The 26,804-nt window shown below is 52.0% G+C and overlaps 1 protein-coding gene and 1 pseudogene across 21 annotated transcripts in view, besides 3 other annotated features; one reads left to right on the top strand and one right to left on the bottom strand.

The window, feature by feature from the left end:
* DTX2 (deltex E3 ubiquitin ligase 2) overlaps positions 1 to 26,804 on the bottom strand; it is a 44,283-nt gene that overhangs the window by 10,952 nt on the left and 6,527 nt on the right. For 6 of the 20 annotated variants that reach the window (NM_001102594.3, XM_017011726.3, XM_047419852.1 and 3 more), the window contains 3 exons: positions 14,263 to 14,619; positions 11,893 to 12,532; positions 2,787 to 2,887 (listed from right to left, as the gene is read on the bottom strand). In NM_001102594.3, the coding sequence (NP_001096064.1) occupies positions 2,787 to 2,887; positions 11,893 to 12,532; positions 14,263 to 14,530 (1,009 nt within the window). In that variant the 5' untranslated portion in view covers positions 14,531 to 14,619. Of the gene's footprint in view, positions 1 to 2,786; positions 2,888 to 11,892; positions 12,533 to 14,262; positions 14,620 to 17,861; positions 17,927 to 18,490; positions 18,603 to 24,620; positions 24,827 to 26,804 lie in introns of those variants that run through there. The other 14 variants (XM_047419853.1, XM_047419860.1, XM_047419858.1 and 11 more) reach the window with 6 other exon arrangements.
* Positions 7,923 to 8,824: an enhancer, noted in NCBI's record as "H3K27ac-H3K4me1 hESC enhancer chr7:76115533-76116434 (GRCh37/hg19 assembly coordinates)". NCBI's record gives its function as "activates a minimal SCP1, AML or CMV promoter by ChIP-STARR-seq in naive H9 embryonic stem cells {active_cell/tissue: H9 hESC(naive)}" and the evidence as "EXISTENCE:reporter gene assay evidence [ECO:0000049][PMID:30033119]".
* Positions 8,016 to 8,375: an enhancer, noted in NCBI's record as "active region_26201". NCBI's record gives its function as "activates an Ori minimal core promoter by ATAC-STARR-seq in GM12878 lymphoblastoid cells {active_cell/tissue: GM12878}" and the evidence as "EXISTENCE:reporter gene assay evidence [ECO:0000049][PMID:35858748]".
* Positions 8,825 to 9,726: an enhancer, noted in NCBI's record as "H3K27ac-H3K4me1 hESC enhancer chr7:76114631-76115532 (GRCh37/hg19 assembly coordinates)". NCBI's record gives its function as "activates a minimal SCP1, AML or CMV promoter by ChIP-STARR-seq in naive H9 embryonic stem cells {active_cell/tissue: H9 hESC(naive)}" and the evidence as "EXISTENCE:reporter gene assay evidence [ECO:0000049][PMID:30033119]".
* Positions 20,040 to 25,020, top strand: FDPSP2 (farnesyl diphosphate synthase pseudogene 2; annotated as a pseudogene). Its single transcript, NR_003262.1, has one exon. The product of NR_003262.1 is annotated as a farnesyl diphosphate synthase pseudogene 2 (transcript).

The following is a 26,804-nucleotide window of genomic DNA, read 5'->3' as shown; positions in this document are numbered from 1 at the left end:
CACTGTCACCTGGAAGCAGTGCCTCCAGCACTCAGTCCTTCCAAAGCATGACCTCCTGGTTATAAACCTCTCTGCAAAAAGCCTGTGCGCAAACGCTCGTCTCCGCAGCCGGGCATGGTATAATTCCTCAACCCACAAGCACACCAGGGTGACAGGACACTGCTCTCCAGCTCTGGCTCCGGGGTGCTGGCCAGGCTCCTCTCATTCCCTGCTCCCCTAGACAATGCTCCCCCAGTAGGTACCAACACTGGGCCTTGAATTGGGGGAGGCAGGAGTCTACACAGCCTCCAGGCTCTCCTATTTCCTTAGGCCTGAACCAGCTTCCCGAATCTATTTCCCCACAAGTAAAATGGATGTTAAAATACCTGCTTTAGCTCCAGGATTGCTCTGAGAGCAACGGGGACAGACAACAGGATGGACAATTTGGGACACAGCCTGGACAGGACCTTCAGCCTCAAGAGCAGAGGAAGGGGGCAGGTGCTAACTCCACACCCAGAGCACTTAGATCTGTGTCATGGCCTCAGAGGTCGCTCACTGTCAGGCCTGGCCACGAAGGCTTGCGAGAGCCCCAGAACTGGAAGGAGCTGGGCCATGAGGAACCGTGTGGGGGCCCCGTCTGTTTACCCACAACCTGTCTCCAATGCCACCACGGCCGCACATGCACACACGGTACACTGTGATTTCCCTACGGCGCCGCACGGTGACTTCAGTGGGCAGGGACTTTCTGGCCAGTGTGTCTTGCTCATTCTGTCTCCCCTGCCCCACTCCAGCTCCTCTCCCTCCTGCCCCCACCTCTCTGGCCGCTCCTTCATTTTCTCTTCAGTCCTGCCCACGGTCTCTGTGGCACACACGCTCCCACGAGGGGTCAGGGGCACCCCATTCCACCCAAGACTGCTCTTCTGAGGCCCACAGCCAAATCCCACTGCCCCGGAACAGCTCCAACGGCCACTCCACAGCCATCACCCCCTCCCAACCTCCCCCTAGACTCAGCAGCACTGAACCGTCATAGGCAAGAAGGCCCGGGGCTGTGTCTCAGCTCTGCCAAGGGCTGGCAGAGAATTTTTAAATTCTCCGAGCCTCAGTTTCCTCTAATGAAAATGGGAACAAAAGCCTCCACCTCAGTGATTTAAGGACGAAATGAATTCACACACGCCAAGCCCCAGGCTGCTCCTCAGTTGTGACTGGCTGCACTCCAGCAGGCCTCAGTCTACCCCCAATCCCCCCTCACAACCCCCCGCCTGACGGCTCATGCCTCTGAATGTTTCAAGCCAAACCTCCCCCTCCACTCCACTGCCTCGAAGCTGGTCAGGCCTTGGCTGGTGCCCCCAGGTCTGAGGTCAGGCTCTGCACCAGCCGCCCTACCTCCAGGCCTGTCCCCTCTCAGCCACTATGACAGCAACTCCCCTAAAACACCAACTCATTATTGAATTCCGCCACATCACCCTGTGAACAACGATGGCGCCATCCACCTCCTTACATACCTCGAACTTTCCAGAAGTTAGAAAATAACCTCAGCTGGGCGTGGCAGCTCATGACTGGAATCCCAGCACTTTGGGAGGCCAAGGCATGAAGACGGCTTGAGCCTGGGAGTTCAAGACCAGCCTGGGCAACATAGTGAGACCCTGTCTCTACAAAAAATAAAAAACTTCCCTGGCATGGTGGCATGTGTCTGTAATCCCAGCTACTCAGGAGGCTGAGGCAGAAGGATCGCTTCAGCCCAGGGGTTGGAGGCTGCAGTGAGCTATGACTACACCACTGCACACCAGCCTGGGGAACAGAGCAAGATCCTGTCTCTTATAACAAGAAAAAAAAAATGGCCAGGCACGGTGGCTCATGCCTGTAATCCCAGCACTTTGGGAGGCCGAGGCGGATGGATCACTTGAGGTCAGGAGTTCAAGACCAGACTGGTCAACATGGCGAAACCCCATCTCTACTAAAAATACAAAAATTGCCCGGGCGTGGTGGCATGCACCTGTAATCCCAGCTACTCGGGAGGCTGAGGCAGGAGAATTGCTTGAACCTGGGAGGCAGAGGTTGCAGTGAGCCGAGATCCCACCACTGCACTCCAGCCTGGGCGAGAGAGACTCCATCTCAAAAAAAGAAAAAAGAAAAAAAATCCTGCCACCTGTGGAGCTTCTGAAAACCCTGCTAGCCAGGCTGCTAAAACAGAATGGGTGTGGGGGCCAGCAGTAGGTATTTTTAAGGATCCTTAAGGTGAAAGGATTGCTTGAGCCCAGGAGTTCAAGACTTCAGTGAGCTGGGTTAGCGCCACTGCACTCCAGCCTGGGTGACAGAGCGAGACTCTTGTCTCACAAAAAACCAAACCAAACCCAAAACAGTTCCAAGATGTAAGATGTATGGTTAGTACAGCAAAAGATCTGGTTGGACCCAAAAGGTGCCTCTTATTCAAGATGTAAGAGTAACTACAGCCGAAATAGATCTATTAATTCCCCAGAGGGCCCCTTTAAGGAAATGTTTAAAGTATTTCAGGACAGGAAAGTGACTATTTAAATATAATGCAATTCAATGCAAAAATGTTAAAGGATGTGAAAAGGTCTGCACCCGAGCGCCCACCGTCATCAGGCCCACGTACCCAGAGAGCAAAAGGAGGGGCACCTGGGCTCACTCTGGGGTGACACCATCACCAGAAAGAGGCACTGCTCCCCCAGGGAGCCCCTTTGGCTCTCCCTGAGGATCCAGAGGGTGACAAGGCCCCACATCACAATTTCCTCCCCACCAAGTCCGCAGGGCACAGACTGCTCTGCAGCCCGAGGTCAGGCACCTACCTGCGAGCGCCTGCTGGACTCTGCTGGGCTTTGGCATCTGCATGGGCACAGTGGCAGGGACGCTCCCTGGGCTGCTTGAGGGACCGCTGGGGAGGGAGGCACTGGGGGAGAAAAGAGCAGAGCTTACTGCACACCGCTGACTTATTGGAAACGAGAGCTGGAGAAACACTGCGTCATGGCCAAGTGGGAGTCACTGAGGTGTCTTCGCGCTTTTACGCTCCTTGGGTGCCTGTGTGGAGGCCTTTGGTTTTGTTTTCCTGGGCAATTCAGAGAGACTCAGGAGGGGTGTGGTGGCTCACACCGGTAATCCCAGCACTTTGGGAGGATGAGGTGGGAGGATCACTTGAGGCCAGGAGTTTGAGACCAGCCTGGGCAACATAGTGAGACTCCATCTCCAAAAAAATTTTTAAAAGTCTGCCAAGTGTGGTGGTGCGCACCTGTACTTGGGAGGCTGAAGCAGGAGGATGGCTTGAACCCAGGAGGTTGAGGCTGCAGTGAGCCATGACCACATCACTGCAGTCCAGCCTGGGCGACAGAGTGAGACCCTGTCTCAAAAAAAAAAAAATAAAGACTCTGAAAACAATCATTTCATACCTGTTGTGAATAAAGAAAATAAAAAGAAAAAAAAAGATATTTTATACTCACTAGTGTCATCAAAATGCAGGCTCTCAGGCCAGGCGTGGTGGCTCACGCCTGAAATCCCAGCACTTTGGGAGGCCGAGGCAGGTGGATCACAAGGTCAGGAGATTGATACCATCCTAACACGGTGAAACCCCATCTCTACTAAAAATATAAAAAATTAGCTGGGCATGCTGGCACACAGCTGTAGTCCCAGCTATTCATTAGGCTGAGGCAGGAGAATCACTTGAACCCAGGAGGTGGAGGTTGCTGAGACCGTGCCACTGCACTCCAGCCTGGACAACAGAGCAAGACTCCGTCTCAAAAAAAAAAAAAAAATGGCTGGGTGCAGTGGCTCACGCCTATAATCTCAGCACTTTGGGAGGCCAAGGTGGGTGGATCGCGAGGTCAGGAGTTCAAGACCAGCCTGGCCAAGATGGCAAAATCCTGTCTCTACTAAAACTACAAAAATTAGCCAGGCGTGGTGGCAGGCGCCTGTAATCCCAGCTACTTGGGAGGCTGAGGCAGGAGAATCACTTGAACCTCGGGCAGCAGAGGTTGCAGTGAGCCGAGATTGCACCACTGCACTCCAGCCTGGGCAACAGAGAGAAACTCAGTCTCAAAAAAAAAAAAAAAAAAAGCAGGTTCTCATAGCACCTGTTTAGAGGAGAAAAATCCTGGCAGACACCACTTTAGCAAATGATCATGACCGTCATCACCAGTAAAAGACAGGTCAGTATCATAAACCCCACGATAGGATGCTCTGGGAGGGATGCAACACCATTTTGGGGGGATTTAATGTCAAAAATGCATTATCTAGCCTGGGCAACAATCAAGACCCCATCTCTAAAAAGTAAAAAACTAGCCAGGTGTGGTGGCATGCACCTGTGGTCCCAGCTACTTGAGAGGCTGAGGCAGGAGGATCACTTGAGCCTGGGAGTTCAAGGCTGCAGTGAGCTATGATCTCACCACTGTACTCCAGCCCAGGCTGGAGACTCTGTCAAAAAAGAAATAATAAAGGGCATTATCTTTGTCCAAACATGGGAAAACAAGACAAACTCAAATTAAGGGACATTCAACAAAGCACCTCTTTGAAAGTAACAAGGTTATGAAAGATAAAGACTGACAAACTGTTCCAGCCCAGAGGAGGACGGGGAGAATAAGAACTGGAAGCAAAGTGGGACCCTGGATTGGATCCTGGGACAGAAAGAGGACAGTAGTGGGAAATTGGTGAAAAATCAAGAAAGAAAAAAAAAACCTTTAGTTAAGAGTATTATACCAGTGGTAATTTTCTTTTTTTGGGGGGGTGAGGGGACGGAGTCTCGCTCTATTACCAGGCTGGAGTGCAGTGGTGTGATCTTGGCTCACTGAAACCTCTACCTCCCAGGTTCAAGCGATTCTCCTGCCTCAGCCTCCTGAGTAGCTGGGACTACAGGTGCGTGCCACCACACCCAGCTAATTTATGTATTTTTAGTAGAGACGGGGTTTCGCTATGTTGCCCAGGATGGTCTTGATCTCTCGACTTCGTAATCCGCCTGCCTTGGCCTCCCAAAGTGCTGGGATTGCAGGAGTGAGCCACCGTGCCCAGCCAACCAGTGGTAATTTTCTGGATCTGACAACTGAACCATGGTTATGAAAGCTGTTAATGTCAGAAGCCAGATGAGGGAGATATGGAAACCCAACTACTTTTGTTAACTTTTCCGGAACTTAATTACCATAAAATAAAGGTTGTTGTTTTTTTTTTTTTTAATATGAGGGTTTTGTTCCCTACAATGATTATGTTCAAGTCACTCATTTGGTCTTTGGATTTTTTGAGACAGAGTCTCGTTCTGTGGCCCAGGCTGGAGTGCAGTGGCATGATCTTGGCTCGCTGCAACATCTGCCTCCTGGGTTCAAGCAATTCTCGTGCCTCAGCCTCTCAAGTAGCTGGGATTACAGGCATGAGCCACCACACCCTGCTAATTTTTGTATTTTTAGTAGAGACAGGGGTTTCACCGTGTTGGCCAGGCTGGTTTCAAACTCCTGACCTCAGGTGATCTGCCCACCTCAGCCTCCCAAAGTGCTGGGATTACAGGCATGAGACACCATACCTGGCCACTCATTTGGTCTTAAGTCATCATATTTCTTTTTTTTAAGAGGTAGGGTCATGCCGGTAGAGTGACACACTGGAAGCATGCTGGGCCCAGAGTTGGGGTCTTGCTCTGTTACCCAGGCTGGAGGGCAATGGTGCGATCATAGCTCACTGCAGCCTCCACCTCCCAGGTTCAAGTGATCCTCCTGCCTCACCCTCCTGAGTAGCTGGGACTACAAGTGAGCACCACCACACCTGGCTAATTTTATATATATAGAGAGAGAGACAGAATCTTGCTATGTTGTCCAGGCTGGTCTGAAACTCCTGGCCTCAAGAGATCCTCCCACCTTGGCCTCTGAAAGCACTGGGATTATGGGCATGAGCCACTGTGCATGGCCTGTTTGAGTTTGTTTGTTGACTGTTCTCAAACAGGATTGCCTCTGTGGCCGTGCTAAGCAAAGAGCAGCTTCTTGCTCTCCTTGCCTACTCCCGATCCAAAGGCAAGGCTGGTAGTGGATCTGGGGGCCCTGATAATGCTAAGAAGGGCAGGGAGTCTGGACACCTGGGTCAAGGTCCTGACTCTACTGAACACTCAGTTTCATTCATTTGGAGCATGCTCCTCCCCTTCCTCAGCTGGTTTCAACTCTTCCCCCCACTTTTTTTTTTTTTCTCGGAGTCTCACTCTGTCATCCAGGCTGGAGCGCAGTGGCGTGATCTCGGCTCACTGCAACCTCTCTGCCTCCCGGGCTCAAGCAATTCTCCTGCCTCAGCCTCCTGAGTAGCTGGGATTACAGGTGCCCGCCACCACGCCTGGCTAATTTTTATATTTTTAGTAGAGACGGGGTTTCACCATATTGGCCAGGCTGGTCTTGAACTCCTGAACTCAAGTGATCCACCCACCTCGGCCTCCCAAAGTGCTGGGATTACAGGTGTGAGCCACCCTACCCAGCCCTCTTTTCTTTTTTTTAAAGGAAAGTGGATCATCTCTGATGGTCTCTGCAACTCTAAGGTTCCATAAGTGAAGGCATTCAGGACCCTCTAGGGCAGCACTGAGCTCAAGCCCGTAGTTGGAGCCCAGAAAGCTGAAATTTGGCACTGCAAGTCTACAAAACAAATGGGCTATGCAGCAGACTAGGCAGCACTGGCCCAGAGGGCTCTAAGCCCATGGTGCACCCCCCTCCGCCCCGCCCCCACCAGAGATGGGGTCCCTGGCTGCTCCATCCCACAGAAAAATCCCAGGAAGTGAGGTCTTCCTTCACCAGGGAGAGGCACATATCTGAACGAGAACGTTTGCTTCCGTTCCTAAAGAACGAACAAGAAGTCCTTGCTTCCAAGGACTACAGGAGAAAGCAGAAGCACAGCGAGGCTTCCAGTGGGCGCTCACCCTGCGAATAGAGAGCAGGAACCAGGAGAATGTTCTGTAGAAAGCTCTAAAAATGTCACCACTTCCCCCATATAATCGCAGTTCCTCCCCGGTGTGTGTCCCTGCTGTGACCTCTAGGAACTGAACCGTACAAGGATCCAGAGGTTCCCAAGATAGGGGCCCCTAGGGGTGGACGGAACCTCAGAGGTTATCAATCGCCCTCACCGTCCTCAGAGGGCTCGGACCTGCAGAACGTTCCCAGATGGGGGCACCAACTGCCCCCTGAAGTGTCCTTCTCTGAGAAGTCCCTATAGTCATGGCCTCAGGCACCCTCCTCCTCTCCCCAACTCCTGGTCCACCTATTAGGCCCTCCCTGGCTTTCCTGTCTGTGACCATCTCCAGGAGATCCCAGACAGAGTGGGAAACGTGAGACATGAGGACTCCGAGTTTTCTATGCAGGGCGAGGGGCAAAGCCAGGAGGCCGGAGAGGAAGGAGATCCAAAGCCCCTCTCCAAGTCCACACCCTCTGGGATTGGGGCTGGCAGCCAGTCCCATGAGCTGCAGAGGCTGGAGACGATGCTAGAGGCGTATGCTCCCGCTCAAAGCCGTGTGTGCTGAGCATGGCAAGTCGCCTTCCCGAGCCTCAATTCCTCTACCTGTGAGGATGATTCCCAAAGGCCGCCAGGGCAGTGGTGAGACCCAGGACAAATATCCATGGGGCCAAGGTCTTGGAGGAGCAGAGGGAGGTGAAGCCAGGCCCTAAGGGCCACCAGGCACTTTCCTGTAGGGCCCTAACTACATCCTGAAAACCACAGCAACAATAGAGCAGAAGGCAACCTCAGAAACCGACTAGCTCAAAAGAAGAAGAGGCAGGGCACGGTGGCTCACACTTGTAATCCCAGTGCTTTGGGAGGCCAAGAGTTTGGGACCAGCCTGGGCAATATAGTGAGACCCGTCTCTACAAAAAATTTAAAAAATTAGCTGGGCACAATGGCACAAGCCTGTAGTCCTGGCCACTCAGGAGGCTGAGGCAGGAGGATCCCTTGAGCCCAGGAGTTTGAGGCTGCAGTGAGCCACGATCACACCACTTCACTCTAGCCTGGGTGACAGAGTGAGACCCTGTCTCTTAAAACAAAACAAAACAAAAAACAAAGAAAAAGAAAAGAAAGAAGAAAAAAATAGAGAAGAAAAGAGACCGAGGGCCTATCATAAGTCAGGAGCAAGGCTCCATCTGGGCCCCATGACTCCAATCCCACAAGCCAAAAGACAGGTGGCAGCAGGAGGAAGAGGAAGTGAGTTCTTTTAGAGGCAAGGGCAGCAGCAGCAGCAGCAGCAGCAGCAGCAGCAGCAGCAGCCCACCACAACAGAAAGCCACCAAGAGCTGAGCGCCGTTTTGCAGGGCCACTGAGCCATTCAGCACAGAGCAAAACGCCCACAGGCTTCACCTCGCTGAGCTGTGACAGACTGCTGGTCATAACCACCACCCCAAGCCATCCAAGTGCTAAGCAGTGTCACACTCTCTCCATTAAGGGAGACAAGAGCATGCATGACACATTTAGGAAAGATTTCCATCCAACATCATTAAAACACAAGTTTTGGTGCTTAAAGGGATCAACTTCAGCTACCAGGAAATCTACTGCCACCCAGCAGCTCAGCCCCAGATGACACGCTTTCTTGTATCACGGCCTGTTCCCAGGGGGCACGTGGAAGCTGTGCACGTGAGTTCCAGGAAATTTTTCAATTTCACGCGCTCACATGGTATTTCCAGTGGCTGCCAGTAAAAAGTCGGTTCTCGGGCTTCCCCAGCCCATGGCGCTGGCTCTAGACGGGCCCTGCCTGCCCTGCCTGCCTCCTCACATCCAAGGTAACTTTCACCTGATGCTGTTGACATGCACTTGGCTGTGAGAACCTTGCCGCCTGCTAGGTTAAGAGGTCAGGTATTTACTAAGCCCCATCTGGCTCTACATCCGTCAGAGGAGGGTTAACTGCAGGGGGCCTCACTACGAATCAGGCAGGGGAAAAGCCTGTTTTTCAGCGCGTAGATAGGCTCGTGCAGGTGAATTACACCTCTCCCAGCTCCAAGAAAACCAAAGGAATCAGGATGCACCTACACCTACCCCAGGAGGCAGGCCCCTTTGAGGCTGTTTCCACTAACAGAGCCTGCTGGCCTGGTTCCCTCCTGACTTACAACGTGGGGCAAGCCACAGCATGCCCACCCCAGCACCAAGGGAAGACAGACTGGCCCATCCACCTTCTTTTCTGTAACTTGCCTGGCCCACACCGGTAGGACCCACATCAGCACTTCTGGGGGCCCTCAGGCCAGGGACGGGGACCCCAGAGAAATACTGGGAGAAACGGAAATGGTTTAGGAAAGACCAACGAGGCCCAATACCAGGAGAAAGGAACAAATCCACATTAAATGACTTAACTCCAGAATCCCAGCTCTAGCACTATCTAGAAATTTGCCTCAAAATAATTCCTAAGAACTTAAGAAGCTCCAGGAAGCTGAGTGGAACAGGGCTGACAGAAGTCCCAGCACCTCTAAGAACCCTCCTGGGCCAGCAGATAGAGCACACTGTTCTCTGAAACAGGCTGACCCAGATACTCAGGGAGGGAAGTTGGGGGAGCATCTCCCTGAGCCTGGCTTGCCTATGTCTATGTCCTCAGAGAGCCCCGATGACACCTTCCTATACTCCCAACTCCCAGAAAGATCTCAGATGCACGTGCCCCAACTCCTGGCAGAAGATGCCCCGGAAAACTCTGACTCACCCAAGGCCCATCACCCTCCTGTCTACTGGCCTCCTCCTAGCTCATCCCTCAAGAGGCCTTTTGGGCCAGGTGTGGTGGCTCATGCCTATAATCTCAGCACTTTGGAAGGCTGGGGCAAGAGAATTGCTTGAGGCCAAGAATTCAAGACCAGCCTGGACAACATGGCAAGACCTTGCCTCTACGTAAAACTGAAAAATTAGCCGGGTGTGGTGGTGTATACCTGTGGTCCCAGCTACTCAGGAGGCTGAGGCAGGAGGATCACTTGAGCACAGGAGTTCAAGCCTGCAGTGAACCATGATTGCACCACTGTACGCTAGCCTGGGTGACAGAGCAAAACCTTGTCTTTAAAAATAGTAATAAAATAAAATTAAAATGTATTAAAAGAGCCCCCTGCCTTCCCGGGAATGTCAATAACTCCCCATGTGCCCCAGATAGCCCACTCTTGGGGTCTGGGCTGAATCCCAGCTCCGCTACTTGCTGGCTGTGTCGCCAACCTCATGGGCCTGAATGTGCTCTCCTGTAAGCGAAGAACACTGCTCAGCCTGAGAGCATCGTGGGATGAGTGAAGTCACTCAAGCAGCCTGCTCAGGAGGGCCTGGCACATGACACGAACCAATGAGCGGGAGGCGCTGTCACTGTGTCTTACACAAGCTGGCAGGGTCCTCGGAAACCCAGTCTGAACAAATACTAGAGGTCCAAGAAGCTGCCAAGGCGGTCTCAACCACCCTGTGAAGTTTCAGCCCTTGACGTGGCTGCGGTGGGCAGGGGTGGGCCGGTGAGCAGGGAGGCAGCAGGATGCCGACCAGGGCCAGTGCGGAGAAAGGAGATGATTTCCTCCCTGGGACCAGGGTGGCCCCAGGCCCACCCACTCCCTCACCACCCGCACCAGGGCACTCTCAGAAAGCCCTGTCCCAGCTACCACTCTGAATTCTCAAAATGTGCTCCAAGCCCAACATTCTCAATAATGAATGACGAAGCCCCAAGTCACCCAGACAGTCAGAGGGCTACGGCCAGCCCATTCACCTTGGCCAAATCCAGGGAAATCCTGGGGGGGTTCCTCATTTTATCTTTTTTATTTTTTTCCCCCGAGATGGAGTTTCGCTCTTTGTTGCCCAGGCTGGAACGCAGTGGCACGATCTTGGCTCACTGCAACCTCCACCTCCTGGGTTCAAGGGATTCTTTTGCCTCAGCCTTCCAAGTAGCTGGGATTACAGGCGCTGGCCACCATGCCTGGCTAATTTTTGTATTTTTAGTAGAGATGGGGTTTCACCATGTTGGCCAGGCTGGTCTTGAACTCCTGACCTCAGGTGATCCGCCCACCTCGGCCTCCCAAAGTGCTGGAACTACAGGCGTGAGCCACTGGGCCCAGCTTTAAGACAGGGTCTCGCTCTGTCACCTAGGGGGCTGAAGTGCAGTGGTGCGATCACAGCTCACTGCTGCCTTGACCTCCTGGTCTCCAGCAATCCTCCTGCCTCAGTCTCCCAAGTAGCTGGGATTACAGGTGTGTACCACCATGCCTGGCTAATTAAAAAAATTTTTTTTGTGGAGATGGGGTCTCGCTATGTTGCTCAGGCTGGTCTCTGACTGCTGGGTTCAAATGATCTTCCTGCCTTGGCCTCCCAAAGTGCTGGGATTAAAGGTGTCAGCCTCTGTGCCTGACCAATCTCCTCATTTTAAATGCCACCCGCTCTGGTCTGCACTGGGCCCGTGGTATCATTCTCTCTCTCTCAAGGAGCTGAGCGCTCTACCAGGCACTCTGGGCTGGGCTGCATCATCACGGGGGCCAGGTCACCCATGCCACCTGCAGCCACTGCCACGTGCTCCACATTCTGCCCTCCCTCACACCGCGCTGACAGCCCCTTGCACTAGACTAGGGCTCAGGGGTAAGGGCTGATACTCTGGTCTCTGGGTCCTTAGGGCCTGGCACAAGGCGGGAGTCAGTGTACAGGCAGTGACCCAGTGTTCTCGGGCACAATGCTCGCCATGCAGCCCGCAAGCAGAGGCCACAGGCCTTTAACTCTGCTCCATGTGGAGGCCCTTAATCATCATGAGTGAAAGGACTGTAGATTCTAACCCGTGTGGTGACCGCCAGGACTCAGGTACAAGGGGTCAGGTAGGCTCTGGATGGCCACGGCACCTCGGCACCCACATGCCACATGCAAATGAGATGCCACGGCAGGACCACCTAGGGGGCAGGAGCCGCATCTGCAGGAATTGGGGTGAGTCTTCCCGGCTAAGAGCGGAAACACAGGGCAGACAAAACGAGCGGCCGTTGCCCACGATACCTGACTGCACCGGAGGTGGAGGATCCTGGGGGCAGGTGCTGCGGTCCCAGGTGGGAGAGGCTGGAGCGGTAGAGGGGCTGGCTCCCCAGGGAAGGAGGAGCTGCGCCCCAGGCGTTGGTGGTGTTCAGCCTGGGCGCAGACCGGGCCCCGGAGAGTGAGGGTTTGTTGTACGGTGCAAAGGCCTGGTGGGTCCCAAACACAGAAGCGGTCCTGTGTGGGGGGTGCTGGGGGACGGGGTATGCAGGGAGGTTGGTCATGGAGTGGCGGTAGCGGCCTGACACGGGGCCAGTTCTGCTGCCACTGAGGCACTGGTGGCAAGAGCAGGCGACGCCTGTGTGGCCCGGCGGAGCGATGATGGTGGTCACCGGGTAAGGCGGCCCTGCTTGGCGCCGCACGCTGCGGCAGAAGCTGGAAGTCTTGTTGGTCTGCGTGTGGGTGGTGTAGTTGACAGTGTAGTTGTACCCCAGGGGGGCCAAGTCCACGAGCTGGTTGCCCCTGGCCACCTGCTGCTCCAGATAGTCACAGACGCTGGCTTCATAGGCAGTCCAGGAGCCATCGTCGCTCAGCCACTCCCAGACGACACCTCGGCCAGGGGCTGAGTGCTGGGGGAACAGGTGTCTCCGCACAGCCCGCATGGTGCCTATTTTCAAAGGAAAACAAAAGGTTAGTCTGCTAGCATCCCCAAGATACAGGGAACGTTCAAATTCTTTTTTCAACCGCCAAAATAAACAAATAGGAACACAGTAGGTACACAGTCATGCTGCTATTTGTTTATTTATTTATTGTTAGAGGCAGGGTACCCCTTTGTCGCCCAGGCTGCAGTGCAGTGATGTGATCATAGTTCACTGCCACCCTGACCTCCTGGGCTCAAGCGATCCTCCTGCCTTAGCCTCCTAAATAACTGGGACTACAGGCACATGACACCACACCCAGCTAACTTCAAATCGACCTCTACAACACCTGCCACTTTCATTCCCCGATTAACACTTCCTGCTCTCTGCCACGATATGCAATTTCCATGTTATTATTTATCCTGTCTGCTATCTTTCTCAGTTGACTTCACACACTGTGAAGGCAACGACTTGGGAGCTGACTGACAGCCACAGTTTTCACAGACTCTACGACACTCCTGGAAACACATAGTTTCCAGGGCTGGGCATGACGGCTCGAGCCTGTAATCCCAACACTTTCGGAGGCCAAGGCAGGAGGATCACTTGAGCTCAGGAGTTGAAGACCAGCCTGGGCAACACAGGGCAATGGAGACCCAGTCTTTACAAAAAACAAACAAACAAACAAACACGAAAAAAAAAAACCCATACTTTTAAAAATAAAACTAAAATTAAAATTGAAAAAAAAAAGGAAAAACCAGTTTTTCAAGTTTCCTCACTGGTGACACTGTGGGCCAATAATTCCTTACTGCAGGGCCAGCCCAGTGCACTGCCGGATGGCGAGCAGCATCCCTGGCCTCCACCCACCAGATGCCAGGAGCACCCCCACCTCCCACCCACTCAGCTGTAACAACCAACAATGTCTCCAAACATTGTCAGATGGCCCCGGGGACAAAATCACCCCCAGTGACAACCACCAGATTAGAGTAAGGGATGGCTCCGAGAGGAAACTGGTGCCTCATTCTCAATAATACTGATCAAAACACACTGCAGGTCCAGGCGCGGTGGCTCATGCTTGTAATCCCAGCACTTTGGGAGGCCGAGGCAGGCAGATCACCTGAGGTCAGGAGCTCGACACCAGCCTGGCCAACGTGGCAAAACCCCGTCTCTACTAAAAATACAAAAATTAGCCAGGTGTGGTGGTGGATGCCTATAATCCCAGCTACTCGGGAGGCTGAGGCAGGAGAATCGCTTGAACCCAGGAGGCAGGGGTTGCAGTGAGCCGAGACTGCGCCACTGCACTCCAGTTTAGGCAACAGAGCCAGACTCCGTCTCAAAAAAAAAAAAAAAGATCAAAACACATCGCAGACCAAAAAGCAGAAACGCACACATGCAGAGGGGCGCAGTTGCCTGCCCAGGGCACACAGCCACTGAGTGGTGGGACAGGGCCCTCTGAACTCCTATGACGCACCACCTCCATGCCGGCCTGCCGGCCAAAGGAACCCTTCAACCTCTGTGGTCGGGACAGGCATTTCTGCTTTGCAAGACAAGGGGAAGGGCCTCCCACAGTGCCTCTCCCACTGTGAGCTGCACTCAACCTATGTGGATGTTCCCACTCACTGCACCCACCCACCACCACGTGTGCTGCAGGGAGAGAGCAGAAGCTCTGTAAGTCACGTCCATCACCCCAACACCTGGCGCAGAGCCTGTGGGAAAGCAGGTGCGGCACCCAGATATGTGCGAGAGGCAGACAGCGTCTTACCGGTGTCCTGGCGGAACTGGGTCCAGCTGGGGAGGTCAATAATGTAAGGGGCCAGCGAGGGGTCTGCCTGGCCCAAGGGGATGCTGTGGGCCAGGCTCCCAAGCCCAAAACGTTGGCCCTTCTGCTGGACAAACTGCTGCTCGATGAAGCTGCAGACGGTGGCACTGTAGGGGTGCCAGGTGCCCAGCCCGTCCTGCCATTCCCACACGGCCACAGCCGCGGGGCTGGTGTACACCTGCACCAGGGAAGGGCTTGGGGCCATGGCCATCTTCCCAAGGAGTCCCGCTGCTTTCCCAAACAGCTTCAGACCCCTCTGGCCTGGAGTCCCGGGGTCATTGCCCAGCGCCTCCGGCAGATCTGTGAACAGGACAGACATGAGCAGTTACCAATGCACATCAGTAGCCCTGCAGAATCAGCCTCAGCGCAGGGGAAACACGTGATGCTTTTCCACAGCTGATTTTTTTTTTTTTTTGGTTACAGGGTCTCACTCTCTCACCCAGGCTACAGTGCAGCAGTGTGATCTTGGCTCACAGCAGCCTCAAACTCCTGGTCTCAAGCAATCCTCACAACTCAGCCTCCAGAGCAGCTGGGACAATAGGCATTCACCACCACACCCAGCTCATTTTTTTACTTTTTGTAGAGATGATGTCTGTGTTGCCCAGGCTGGTCTCAAAGTCCCAGCCTCAAGGGATAGACTCGCCTCAGCCTTCCCAAGTGCTGGGATCACAGGTGTGAGCCACCGCGCCTGGTCTCACGCTTGCTTTTCTTCCCCTAACACCTTAAGGGCATCATGAATCAAGAACCTGATCCTGTCTCTTTGCTGTGGCAGCCAGGAAGAATTCAAAGTCAATCCCGCAGCCTACGTACCGCCGCACAGGCCCATGAAGAAAGAGAGCATAAATTCCGGGTGCTAGTCACCAGCCCAGCTTCTTTCTTGCTACTGATAATTCCCCTCTGACCCAACTGCTTAGTGTGTTTCATCATGCATGTATTTTTTTTTCTTTGAGATGGAGTTTCCCTCTTGTCACCCAGGCGTGTGATCTCGGCTCACTGCAACCTCCACCTCCCGGGTAGGTTCAAGTGATTCTCCTGCCTCAGCCTCCCGAGTAGCTAGGACTACAGGCATGCACCACTGCGCCCAGCTAATTTTTTGTATTTTTAGTAGAGACGGGGTTTCACCATGTTGGCCAGGCTGGTCTCAAACTCCTGACCTCAGGTGATCCACCCACCTCAGCCTCCCTATTAGCACCCACCATCCTGAAGATGAGATCCCAACATTTCTTGGAAAGGAGCAGGGTTTGGGACACCCAGGGAGCAGGGGCAGAGCTGGGAACTGCAGCACAGGTTCTAGCTCCTCATGTCTCCCAGGTGCCCTGAAGCATTGCTAACCAAAAAGGAAGCCCTAGATGGGCACCGAATCACCCCTCTCTGGCCTCTCCAAGGCTCTCTGCACCCACTCCCCGACCTGGCCCCTGCTGACCGGCCACCAGGCCCAGGGAGCTCTTCCCCACATCCCGAGCTCCACCTCCCGAGACCTTCTCCTTGCAGTCACTCCAGCCCACCCTCTTCCCTTGCGAACACTCCACGTCCTCCAGGCCCAGCTTGCATCGCTCAGGATGACCCATCACACGCCCTCTGCACCCTCCACAGCACCCACCAGAACCCTAGTAACCGCGTCCACGTGTGGCTGTGACCACAGTCCTTCTGCTCCTCCCCAGGTGGCAGCAACCCCAAGCCTGCTTCATTCACAGCTGCATCACCGGGACCCAGCAGGGGCATGCCACGTGGTGAGTGTTCTAGAATGTTCTACACACTGCTTCAGAATGACAGAGTGAATGTGGACAATGATTCCGCTCAGCACCTGGAGCTGTCTGAATAAGAAGAGGCCTGCAAATGCCCCACCTGATGGCTGCCCCCCAGGGCACCGGCTGTTGGAGTGCCGGTCCAGGGTCCAACATTTAGTAACCAACATCAAATGTACTTGTCTCTCCTAAGCTGCACAGACTGCCAAGGTGACATTTCTCCCACTTACGGACAGGAAACCAAGGCTGAAAGAGGTCAAGGGGACTGGGTGTGGTGGCTCACACCTGCAATGCCAGTGTTTAGGGAGGCTGCGACAGGAGGGTGGTTTGAGCACAGGAGTTTGAGGCCAGCCTGGGCAACATAGTGAGATCCCATCTCTGCAGAAAATTTAAAAGTTAGCCAGGTGCGGAGGTGCATGCCAATAGTCCCAGCTACTCAAGAGGCTGAGGCAGGAGGATGGCTTGAGCCCAGGAGTTAGAGGCTGCAGTGAGCTATAATCCCAAGGCACTCCAGCCTCGGTGACAAGAGGTCCCACCTCTACAAAAAAAAAAAAAAAAAAATCAGAGCTGATGCAGTGTGTGTGCACACTGATGCCAGAGCCCAGGCCTGCTTCTTTCCAGGTGCTGCTCCACATCTGTCTCCCTTCCAGGGAAGGTGGTCTTACCCTTCTCACTGAAACCTTGCTGGGGTAGTACAGTCTGGGACCACACCAGAAGCCAGGGTCCCCATCTTATCACAAGCCATGCGACTATGAGGACGTCACTGTAACTACCTGGGTCTCAGTTTCCTCATTGGCAAAATGGGGATAAAATATGATGTGTATGCTCGGGAATCACCAGATTGTATCAGTGGGGGCCCTACTGGCCAGGGTCCTTCATGGGCGTGTTGTCACAATGAGGGTGTATAGTGCTTGAGAGACGAGGGTCGTTCTCTCCTTTTCCTTTCCCCCTCTTTAAGCAGGGCCTGTAAGTGAAGCCCAAGGTGAAGCTCAGACTGAGCCCTCCTAGCTAAGAAAATGGGCCTTAGAGCCAGACCCGACCTGGGTTTGTTCTCTGTGCTGCCTCTTAGTCATGTATGTGTGACCTTGGCTGAATAACTCAAGGTCACACATACACTACTTAATAAAAGGTGACATTTATTTATTTATTTATTTATTTATTTATTTATTTATTTAGAGTCCGAGTCTCACTCTGTCACCCAGGCTAGAGTGCAGTGGCTGCAATCACCACTCACTGCAGCCCCATGGTCTCCTGGGCTAAAGCCATCCTCCTGCCTCCACCTCCCGAGCAGCTGGGACTACAGGCATGTGCCACCATACTCAACTGATCTCTTAATTTTTTGTAGAGACAGGGGTCTCCCTCTGTCACCCAGCTGAGACTACAGGCACGCGCCACCATGCCTGGCTATTGTATCATCTTGATGGAAGTATCTAAGCTCTCCAAGCTTGCTTTCTTTGGGAAAATGCAGTTATCAACATGTATCCTAAGTGTTTTTCATGAGGATAACACAGACGGGTGTGTATAAGGTGCCCACACAGCACTAGGCATACAGCAGAGAGTCAACCCATCTTGGCCTCCCTGCCTCTCCTGGCCCCTCACCCCTAGCACTTGCCCACCCTTTCAGTCTCAAGGAGGAACGGCCACAAGGGCAGCCCTGAGTACACAGCATGAGAACACAGGTGAGTCAGGCCTGCAACAACTCCGAACACAGGAATTGGCAGCTCTGTGGGTGCCAGGCCCGCCACGGAGCTGCCAATTCCTCCGACAAAAGCCCACAACCTGCCCCGAAGATCAGACCTGGAGTGCCCTCGGGCGGGCGGGCGGGCGGAATGGTTCAGCTCAGTGTCTTCAATTGGAAGTTTCTGTAACCACAATGAGGTACAAATCAGAGGACTGCCTTCCAAGCCAATTACTCCTGGGTGTCACGCATCTCTCGGGCAGCCACGGCCGCCTCCATCATCGGCACACGGGGTATGTCCCAACATGTCCTCATGGCCCGGATGAACCAACTCTCACAACTCTGCAAAAACAGCCTGGGAAATACAGGCGAGGACATCAGCTAAAACTTTCCACGAAGGCACGCAGCCTCCCCAATGGAGGGCGCACCATGGCCCAGGCCCTAGGAGGGTACTGGAGACTCCAGAGGATGACAAGGCACACAAGCCCCTCCATGACCAGCCACTGTTCCTACTCACACCAAGCCCGCCACCTTTGATACCTACATCTAATTCTAGAAAGTTCCAGAACATTCCAAGCCACTTACCACCTTCTAGCAATTGATCCTCCCTCTATACCAGCCCCCAAGCAAACACGCCCATCCTTCCAGACCCAACCATGGTATCCCCTTCTCCTGGGCCCCCTGACCCACAGCTTGCCAGAGACGGCTGGCTCCACCTACCCTTGTGTGCACGGCGCAGGGCACTTACGCAAACACAACCGCACTCCCTGGTTTCAGTGGCCTTCTCCCCACCAAAACAGAAACTCCCTGAGGGCAGAGCTGGGGCTGCAGCTCTTCAGGTGCCCAATATCCCAGAGGCTCTGAAACACCAAAGGAGGGGTGAGCCTTCTGCTCCAGGGGCACAGGCACCTTTGAGTCACTGCCCAGAAACGCCCACTGCGTTCCCCTTGAACCCAGCAATTATGCACAATACAGTGGCGTGTCGGTGCACCAGTCTCTGCAGCAGCCTCGGCTTAACCATCACTTAGCTGCAGCTTAAAAACCTAATTTGTTCCAGCTCCTAATGATGCCGGTTCTTCATTATGAAAATTATTAGTATTATAATTGGCCATGGGAAAAAGCCTCAATTTGGAGGCAGCCTAAACACTTTACAATAAAGGAATTCTTGCACCAATTATGGAACATTCTAATGATGGAATACAAATCAGTCTTAAAAAATGAAAGAAAGGGCCAGGCGCGGTGGCTCATGCTTGTAATCCCAGCACTTTGGGAGGCCGAGGCGGGCGGATCGCTTGAGTCCAGAAATACAAGACCAGCGTGGGCAACACAGCAAAAGCCTGTCTTTACAAAAACTAGAAAAATTAGCCATTTGTGGTGGTGCGTGCCTGTAGTATCAGCTACTCAGGAGGCTGAGGTGGGAGGATTGCTTGAGCCCTGGAGGTTGAGGCAGCAGTGAACCATGATTGCACCACTGCACTCCAGCCTGGGTGACAGACAGAGACCCTGTCTCATAAAAATAAATTAATTAAAAATTAAAAGTCTGGAAAGAACAACACTAAAATGTCACTGGAATCAAAGAATTATGGGATTTTTTTTCTTTTTTTTTATTTTTGAGAAGGAGCCTTGCTCTGTCGCCAGGCAGGAGTGCAGCAGTGCAATTTTGGCTCACTGCAACCTCCGCCTCCCGGGTTCAAGCAGTTCTCCTGCTGCAGCCTCCCAAGTAGTTGGGATTACAGGCACGCACCACTACGCCTGGCTAATTTTTGTATTTTCAGTAGAGATGTGGTTTTGCCACATTGGCCAGGTTGGTCTCAAACTCCTGACCTCAAGTGATCCACCCGCCTCAGCCTCCCAAAGTGCTGGGATTACAGGTGTGAGCCACTGCACCTGGGCTATTCTTTCTTTACCTCTTTCTGTACTTGCAAATGTTCTAAAATAGTCATATAACTTTTTAATGATCAAAGGGTTTTTTTTGTTTTTGTTTTTGAGACAGAGTTTCATTCTTGTTGCCCAGGCTGGAGTGCAATGGCGTGATCTCGGCTCACTGCAACCTCCGCCTCCCGGGTTCAAGTGATTCTTCTGCCTCAGCCTTCCAAGTAGCTGGGATTACAGGCACCCACCACCAAGCCCGGCTAATTTTTTTTTTTGTATTTAGTAGAGACGCGGCTTCACCATGTTGGCCAGGCTGGTCTCGAACTCCTGACCTCAGGTGATCTACCTGCCTTGGCCTTCCAAAGTGCTGGGATTACAGGCGTGAGCCACTGCACCTGGCCAAAGTTTTTTTTTTCTTCTTTTTTTTAGTATTAACAACTTTGACCAGGAAAAACAAACCCTGCTTTTCCTTTACAGTCTCTCGTCAGGTCTTCGCCACAAATCTCTGTCCAGAGGATCGTGGCTGAGGCACCATGGAATGCTGCTGTTCTACTGGAGATGCAATTTCATCCAAAAGAAAAAGGGAAAAGTATCCAAAAGTCTTTCTAGTCTCCAGGCATTTAGAAAAGCTTTAGAACAAGATCTGCACTGGCACAAGAATTTGAGTGGAAATCACCCTGCCCAGCTGTGAGCCCCGGGGCGGGTGAGCCACACACTTGGATCTCACTGCAGTTGTGGCCTCTGGGAAGAAGGCTTTGAATGCAGATTTTAAACAGGTACTCAACTCATACTGAGCCACGGCTACTTTCAACTTAACAATATGTGAGAAACCCATCTGATCACTGCAGACCTGCTGAAATCTGTTACAACTAATCCTTCAATCCTCACCAGAATGCTGGCTGTCCTGCCTCTGCCGTCCCGAGAGAAGATGAAAGCTACTGGGTGGCCACAGGGCAGTTATGTCCCCTTCTCTAGGTTCTGTGATTCTGGCAGTTAGAATGGGTTTCCAGACTTTTACAAGCAGAAACCCTTATACATGTGATTATATGCTGTCCGTCAACATGTAAAACAGGCCAAGCGTGGTGGCTCACACCTGTAATCTCAGCGTTTTGGGAGGCCAAGGTGGGAGGACCACTTGAGGCCAGGCGTTTGAGACCAGTCTGGGCAACATAGCAAGACCCTATCTCTTAAAAAAAAAAAAAGAAAAGAAAGAAAGAAAAGAAAAAGAAAAAGAAAAAGAAAAAAAAAAGTAGGCCAGGCACGGATCACCTGAGGTCGGGAGTTTGAGACCAGCCTGACCAACATGGAGAAACCCCATCTCTACTAAAAATACAAAATTTGCCGGGCGTGGTGGCACATGCCTGTAATCTCACCTACTAGGGAGGCTGAGGCAGGAGAATCGCTTGAACCCGGGAGGTGGAGGTTGCAGTGAGCCGAGATCGCGCCATTGCACTCCAGCCTGGGCAATAAGAGTGAAACTCAGTCTCAAAAAAAAAAAAAAAAAAAGTGAAACACAGAAATGTGGGACGTTGTTTTTGACACAGAGGTGGCCTCCATTCCTATTTTTCTTCAAGAGAACCATGAAGCTCCTTTGCAAAATAGGTGAGTTCTTTTCTTTGAGACAGAGTCTCCTTCCATCACACAGGCTGGAGTGCAGTGGTGCGATCTTGGCTTACTGCAACCTCTGCCTCCCAGGCTCAAGTGATTCTCATGCCTCAGCCTCCTGAGTAGCTGGAACTACAGGTGTGCACCACACCACACCTGGCTAATTTTTGTATTTTTAGTAGAAACGGGGTTTCGCTATGTTGGCCAGGGCTGGTCTCAAACTCCTGGCCTCAAGTGATCTGCCCATCTCGGTCTCCTCAAGTGCTAGGATTACAGATGTGAGCCACTGCACCTGACTGCAAAATGGGAGAGTTCTGAGAAGTGTGGACTGGAAACCAGTGAGAGGAGGTAACTTCTAGAACCTCTTCCCAGCTCTGATTCCACTAACATGGTCTAAACTTTCCAAACTCAACCCACACCACCGTTAAAGTCCTTATTTTCTAAGCCGTTTCTCTTTCGGGCACTTTCCAGGAGGCCTGGGCCTGAAACTCCACACCCCACCAGCTGACACACTGTGCGTGACCTGGAACTAGAAATGACCTTCTCACAGGGCAGATGGCCACCCACGGGGGATGTCTTGTTAGAAAGCCTCTCCAAAGACCTGGGAGAGTCAAATCCTGACACAAACATATCAAAGAAATGTTCTACTTTACTAGAAATTTTGTTTAAAACATACAAGTTAAAATCAGCGGCTGAGCATGGTGGCTCACACCTATAATCTTAGCTACTCGGGAGGTGGAGGGAAGAGGATTGCTTGAGGCCAGGAGGTCAAGACCAGCCTGGGCAACACAGAGAGACCCCCATCTCTATTTATTAAAAAAAACGGAAAAGAAAACAATTTGGTAATATATGTATCAAGAGGTTTAAAAATGTTCACTTCCTTTGATCCAATAATTAAGACTCTAACTTCAGAAAATTATAGAAAAATTTTGACGTGAAGCTATTCACTACAGCACTGTCTCTATTACATAAAACAGAAGCATAGGGCAAACTCCATAGAAGTCAATAAAATGTTAACAGCTGTCTTTGAGTGGAGAAACGATAGAAGACCTTTTTTTTTCTTTTTTTTTAAACTTGCTTCTTTTCTTCTTCATATATAGGAGACGTTTTGTTTGACTTCCTTATATATCTGAACTTTTCACATTTTCTAAAGTGAGAAAGTATTACTTCTATTATCAGAAAAAAACTCTCCTGGCCAGGTGCAGTGGCTCATGCCTGTAATCCCCAGCACTTTGGAAGGCTGAGGGGGGCGGATCATCTGAGGTCAGGAGTATGAGACCAGCCTGGCCAACATGGTGAAATCCCGTCTCTACTAAAAATACAAAAATTAGCTGGGCATGGTGGCATGCACCTGTAATCCCAGCTACCTGGGAAGCTGAGGCAGGAGAATCCCCTGAACCCAGGAGGCGGAGGTTGCAGTGAGCCGAGAACTGCACCACTGCACTCCAGCCTGGGCAACATGAGCCTCAAAAAACAAAACAAAAAACAAACCTCCCTTAAAATGCCAAACACTTTTAAAAGGTCATAAATATAAACCAAACCACCACCACCGCTGTGTCTTACCATTATTACTTTAAATGGCTGCTGCTATCCCAGTGTAGTTTCACTAATATCAGGCCCTGTCAACTTACCATGGCACCTCCCTGACAGCAGACACATCCCCCCATCCCCGAGCTCCACAAAAATGGAAGAACAAACCATCCATGTTCCTATGACAGTAGTCCTGTGAGCACGGCGAGATGGGGCTTTGCTTGAAAAGGGATCACTCAGGCCAGTGCCTCCCACGTCTTACTGGAAGATGGCACGAAACTAGCATGTGATTTGTCTCTTGCACAGTGGGTGGCCGGAAGGGAAGTGACAACTCTTCTGGCTGGGGCCTCCAGGGATAGGTCAGAGCAGAACCTTCCAAAGGGCACCCATGGTGCCGGCCCCAGTAACCTACAATTCCCTTGTGGTCAACCAGCTTCTCCAGAACCAAGAACCCACTGGCTCCTGGGTGGCCAAGAGCAATCTGACCACCTGCAGCCAGTCAGAAGGTGGAGCCCTGGTTTACGGGCCTACCCAGAGGGCAAAGTAGGGGAGTAATAGGGGCAGCAGTGGATGTGTAATGGTAACAGTAATAGCAGGCCTGGTGCAGTGGCTCACACCTTGTGATCCCAGCACTTTGACTGGCTGAGGCAGAAGGACTGCTTTGAGCCCAGGGGTTCAAAGTTGCAGTGAGCTATGATCGTGCCACTACACTCCAACCTGGGCAACAGAGCGAGACCCTGTCTCTTTAAAAAAAAATAAATAACAGCCAAGCAGGAACCCGCATCCAGGAACACAGCCCTTTGCTCCTCCCTCAGAATGAATGGAAACCAGGCTGGGCGCGGTGGCTCACACCTGTAATCCCAGCACTTTGGGAGGCCAAGGCGGGCGGATCACGAGGTCAGGAGATCGAGACCATCGTGGCTAACATGGTGAAACCCTGTCTCTACTAAAAATACAAAAAATTAGCCGGGCGCGGTGGCGGGTGCCTGTAGTCCCGGCTACTAGGGAGGCTGAGGCAGGAGAATGGCGTGAACCCAGGAAGTGGAGTTTGCAGTGAGCCAAGATCGCGCCACTGCACTCCAGCCTGGGCGACAGAGCAAGACTCCGTCTCAAAAAAAAAAAAAAAAAAAAAAAGAACGAATGGAAACCAGAAATCAGATATTTATGCCCAAGCAAAGCAGGATTTCGTTCAGCACTACTCCCAGATCGTTAGGGTGCTGACTGAGGATGAGATGGGGCACCCAGAGACAGGAGATGCTACTGCCCGGCTCAAGGAGGTCCTGGAGTACAATGCCATTGGAGGCAAGTATCACCGAGGTTTGATGGTGCTAGTAGCGTTCCGGGAGCTGGTGGAGCCGAGGAAACTGGATGCTGATAGTCTCCAGTGGGCACCGACTGTGGGCTGGTATGCGCAACTGCTGCAAGCTTTCTTCCTGGTGGCAGATGACATTATGGATTCATCCCTTACCTGCCAGGGACAGATCTCCTGGTATCAGAAGCTGGGCATGGGTTTGGATGCCATCAATGATGCTATCCTTCTGGAAGCATGTATCTACTGCCTGCTGAAGCTGTATTGCCGGGAGCAGCCCTATTACCTGAACCTGATGGAGCTCTTCCAGCAGAATTCTTATCAGACTGAGATTGGGCAGACCCTCGACCTCATCACAACCCCCCAGGGCAATGTGGATCTTCGCAGATGCACCGAAAAAAGGCACAAATCTGTTGTCAAGTACAAGACAGCTTTCTACTCCTTCTACCTTCCTGTAGCTGCAGCCATGTACATGTCAAGAATGGATGACAAGAAGGAGCACACCAGTGCCAAGAAGATCCTGCTGGAGATTCAAGAGTTCTTTCAGATTCAGGATGATTACCTTGACTTCTCTGGGGACCCCAGTGTGACTGGCAGAGTTGGCAATGACTTCCAGGACAACAAATGCAGCTGGCTGGTGGTTCAGTGTCTGCTACAGGCCACTCCAGAACAGTACCAGATCCTGAAGGAAAATTACAGGCAGAAGGAGGCCGAGAAGGTGGCCCGGGTGAAGGCACTATACGAGGAGCTGGATCTGCCAGCCGTGTTCTTGCAGTATGAGAAAGACAGTTACAGCCACGTTATGGGTCTCATCGAATAGTACGCAGAGCCCCTGCCCCCAGCCATCTTTCTGGGGCTTGTGCACAAAATCTACAAGTGGAAAAAGTGACCTAGAGACTGCAAGGGCGGGGAGAGAAGGCTCTCAATAAGTAAATTATTGTGTAAAATAAATAAATAAATGAATAACAGCAATGGCTACCAGGTAAAGGTTTACCAGGCACCAGGCACCGTGCTAAGCCCCTCCACCTGACTAGTAATTCTCGTTGGTCCTCACAACTGGGGAAGCGGGATATTTCCATACCACAACTGAGAAAAGTGAGTCACCAGAAGACATGCAGCTTGCCCAAGGATATCCAGGGACTGAGAAAACCCAAATCTGTTTCCAGAGTTCCTGTCTTTCCCACCAAGACAGACTGACGACGGACAAACTGGCCTGTAGATGTGTTTTGCTTGGGTTACTAAGGTTTGGCTTTTAAAAACTGAGCTGATGTTTAAAAATTGGAATATTTGGCCGGGCTCAGTGGCTCACACCTGTAATCCCAGCACTTTGGGAGGCCGAGGCAGGCAGATCATGAGGTCAGGAGAGCGAGACCATCCTGGCTAATGCAGTGAAACCCTGTCTCTACTAAAAAATACAAAAAATTAGCCAAGTGTGGTGGCGAGCGCCTGTAGTCCCAGTTACTCGGGAGGCTGAGGCAGGAGAATTGCTTGAACCTAAGAAGTGGAGGTTGCAGTGAGCCAAGATTATGCCACTGCACTCCAGCTTGGGCGACAGAATGAGAATCCGTCTCAAAAAAAAAAAAAAAAGGAATATTCACAGTAAAAAAAAAAAAAAAAAAAATCTAGATTTCAAGCTTCCCTTGAAAATCAGGAAAGATGGCAATATTTGCAGGCTGGACCTAGATCCATGATCTACCTAGCAACACCAGCTAAACTGCAATGGTGGCTGGAACGTCCTCTCTGGGTGGCCACAGCTACCATGACTCCCTATGGCTAGGGCCAGCATGCTTTTCCTGTAAAGGACAGAAAAAGTCTTTGCAGTGACTCTGCCACTAGACCACAAGAACAACCATAAACAATGTGTAAACAGGAGGGGTTGCATACCAATATAACTTTATGAACAAAATCAGGCAGTGGGGCTGAATGCGGTAGCTCACGCCTGTAATCCCAGCACTTCGGGAGGCTGAGGTGGGTGGATCATTTGAGGCCAGGAGTTTGAGACCAGCCTGGCCAATACAGTGAAACCCCGTATCTACCAAAAAAATACAAAGATGAGCCAGGCGTAGTGGCGTGCACCTGTAGTCCCAGCTACTTGGGAGGCTGGGGCAGGAGAATCACTTGAACCCAGGAGGCGGAGGCTGCAGTGAGCCGAGACTGTGCCACTGTACTCCAGCCTGGGCAACAGAGTTAGACCCTGCCTCAAAAAAAAAAAAAAAAAAAAAATGCTGGGCGTGGTGGCTCACGCCTATAATCCCAGCACTTTGGGAGGCCAAGCGGGGGTGGATCACCTGAGGTCAGGAGTTCGAGACCAGCCTGGCCAACATGGTGAAACCTTGTCTCTACTAAAAATACAAAAATTAGCCAGGCATGGTGGCTGGTGCCTGTAATCCCAGCTACTCAGGAGGCTGAGGCAGGAGAATTTCTTGAACCTGGGAGGCGGAGGCTGCAGTGAGCTGAGATCGTGCCATTGCACTCCAGCCTGGCAACAGAGTGAGACTCCATCTCAAAAAAAAAAAAAAAAAAAAAAAAAAAATGGCAGTGGGCCAGATTTGGCTGAGGGTCCATCGTTTGCAGACCTCTGCCCTGTGGCCTCCCTCACATCTATTACTGTACTTTCACACTCCTACAGTTGAGCAATACTTCTCTGAACTCATGTCTCTATCAAAAAGTGAGAGAGTGCTCTGCCTCTGGCTAGCTTTGCCAACAACACGCCCTGCCCTCTGCAGACATGTCAGCCTTTGCCCAA

This window comes from Homo sapiens, chromosome 7, assembly GCF_000001405.40.
Source record: "Homo sapiens chromosome 7, GRCh38.p14 Primary Assembly".
NCBI lineage: Eukaryota > Metazoa > Chordata > Mammalia > Primates > Hominidae > Homo > Homo sapiens.
Note: the sequence above shows the minus strand (reverse complement) of the source record. Positions and strands in the feature narration are given on the sequence as shown.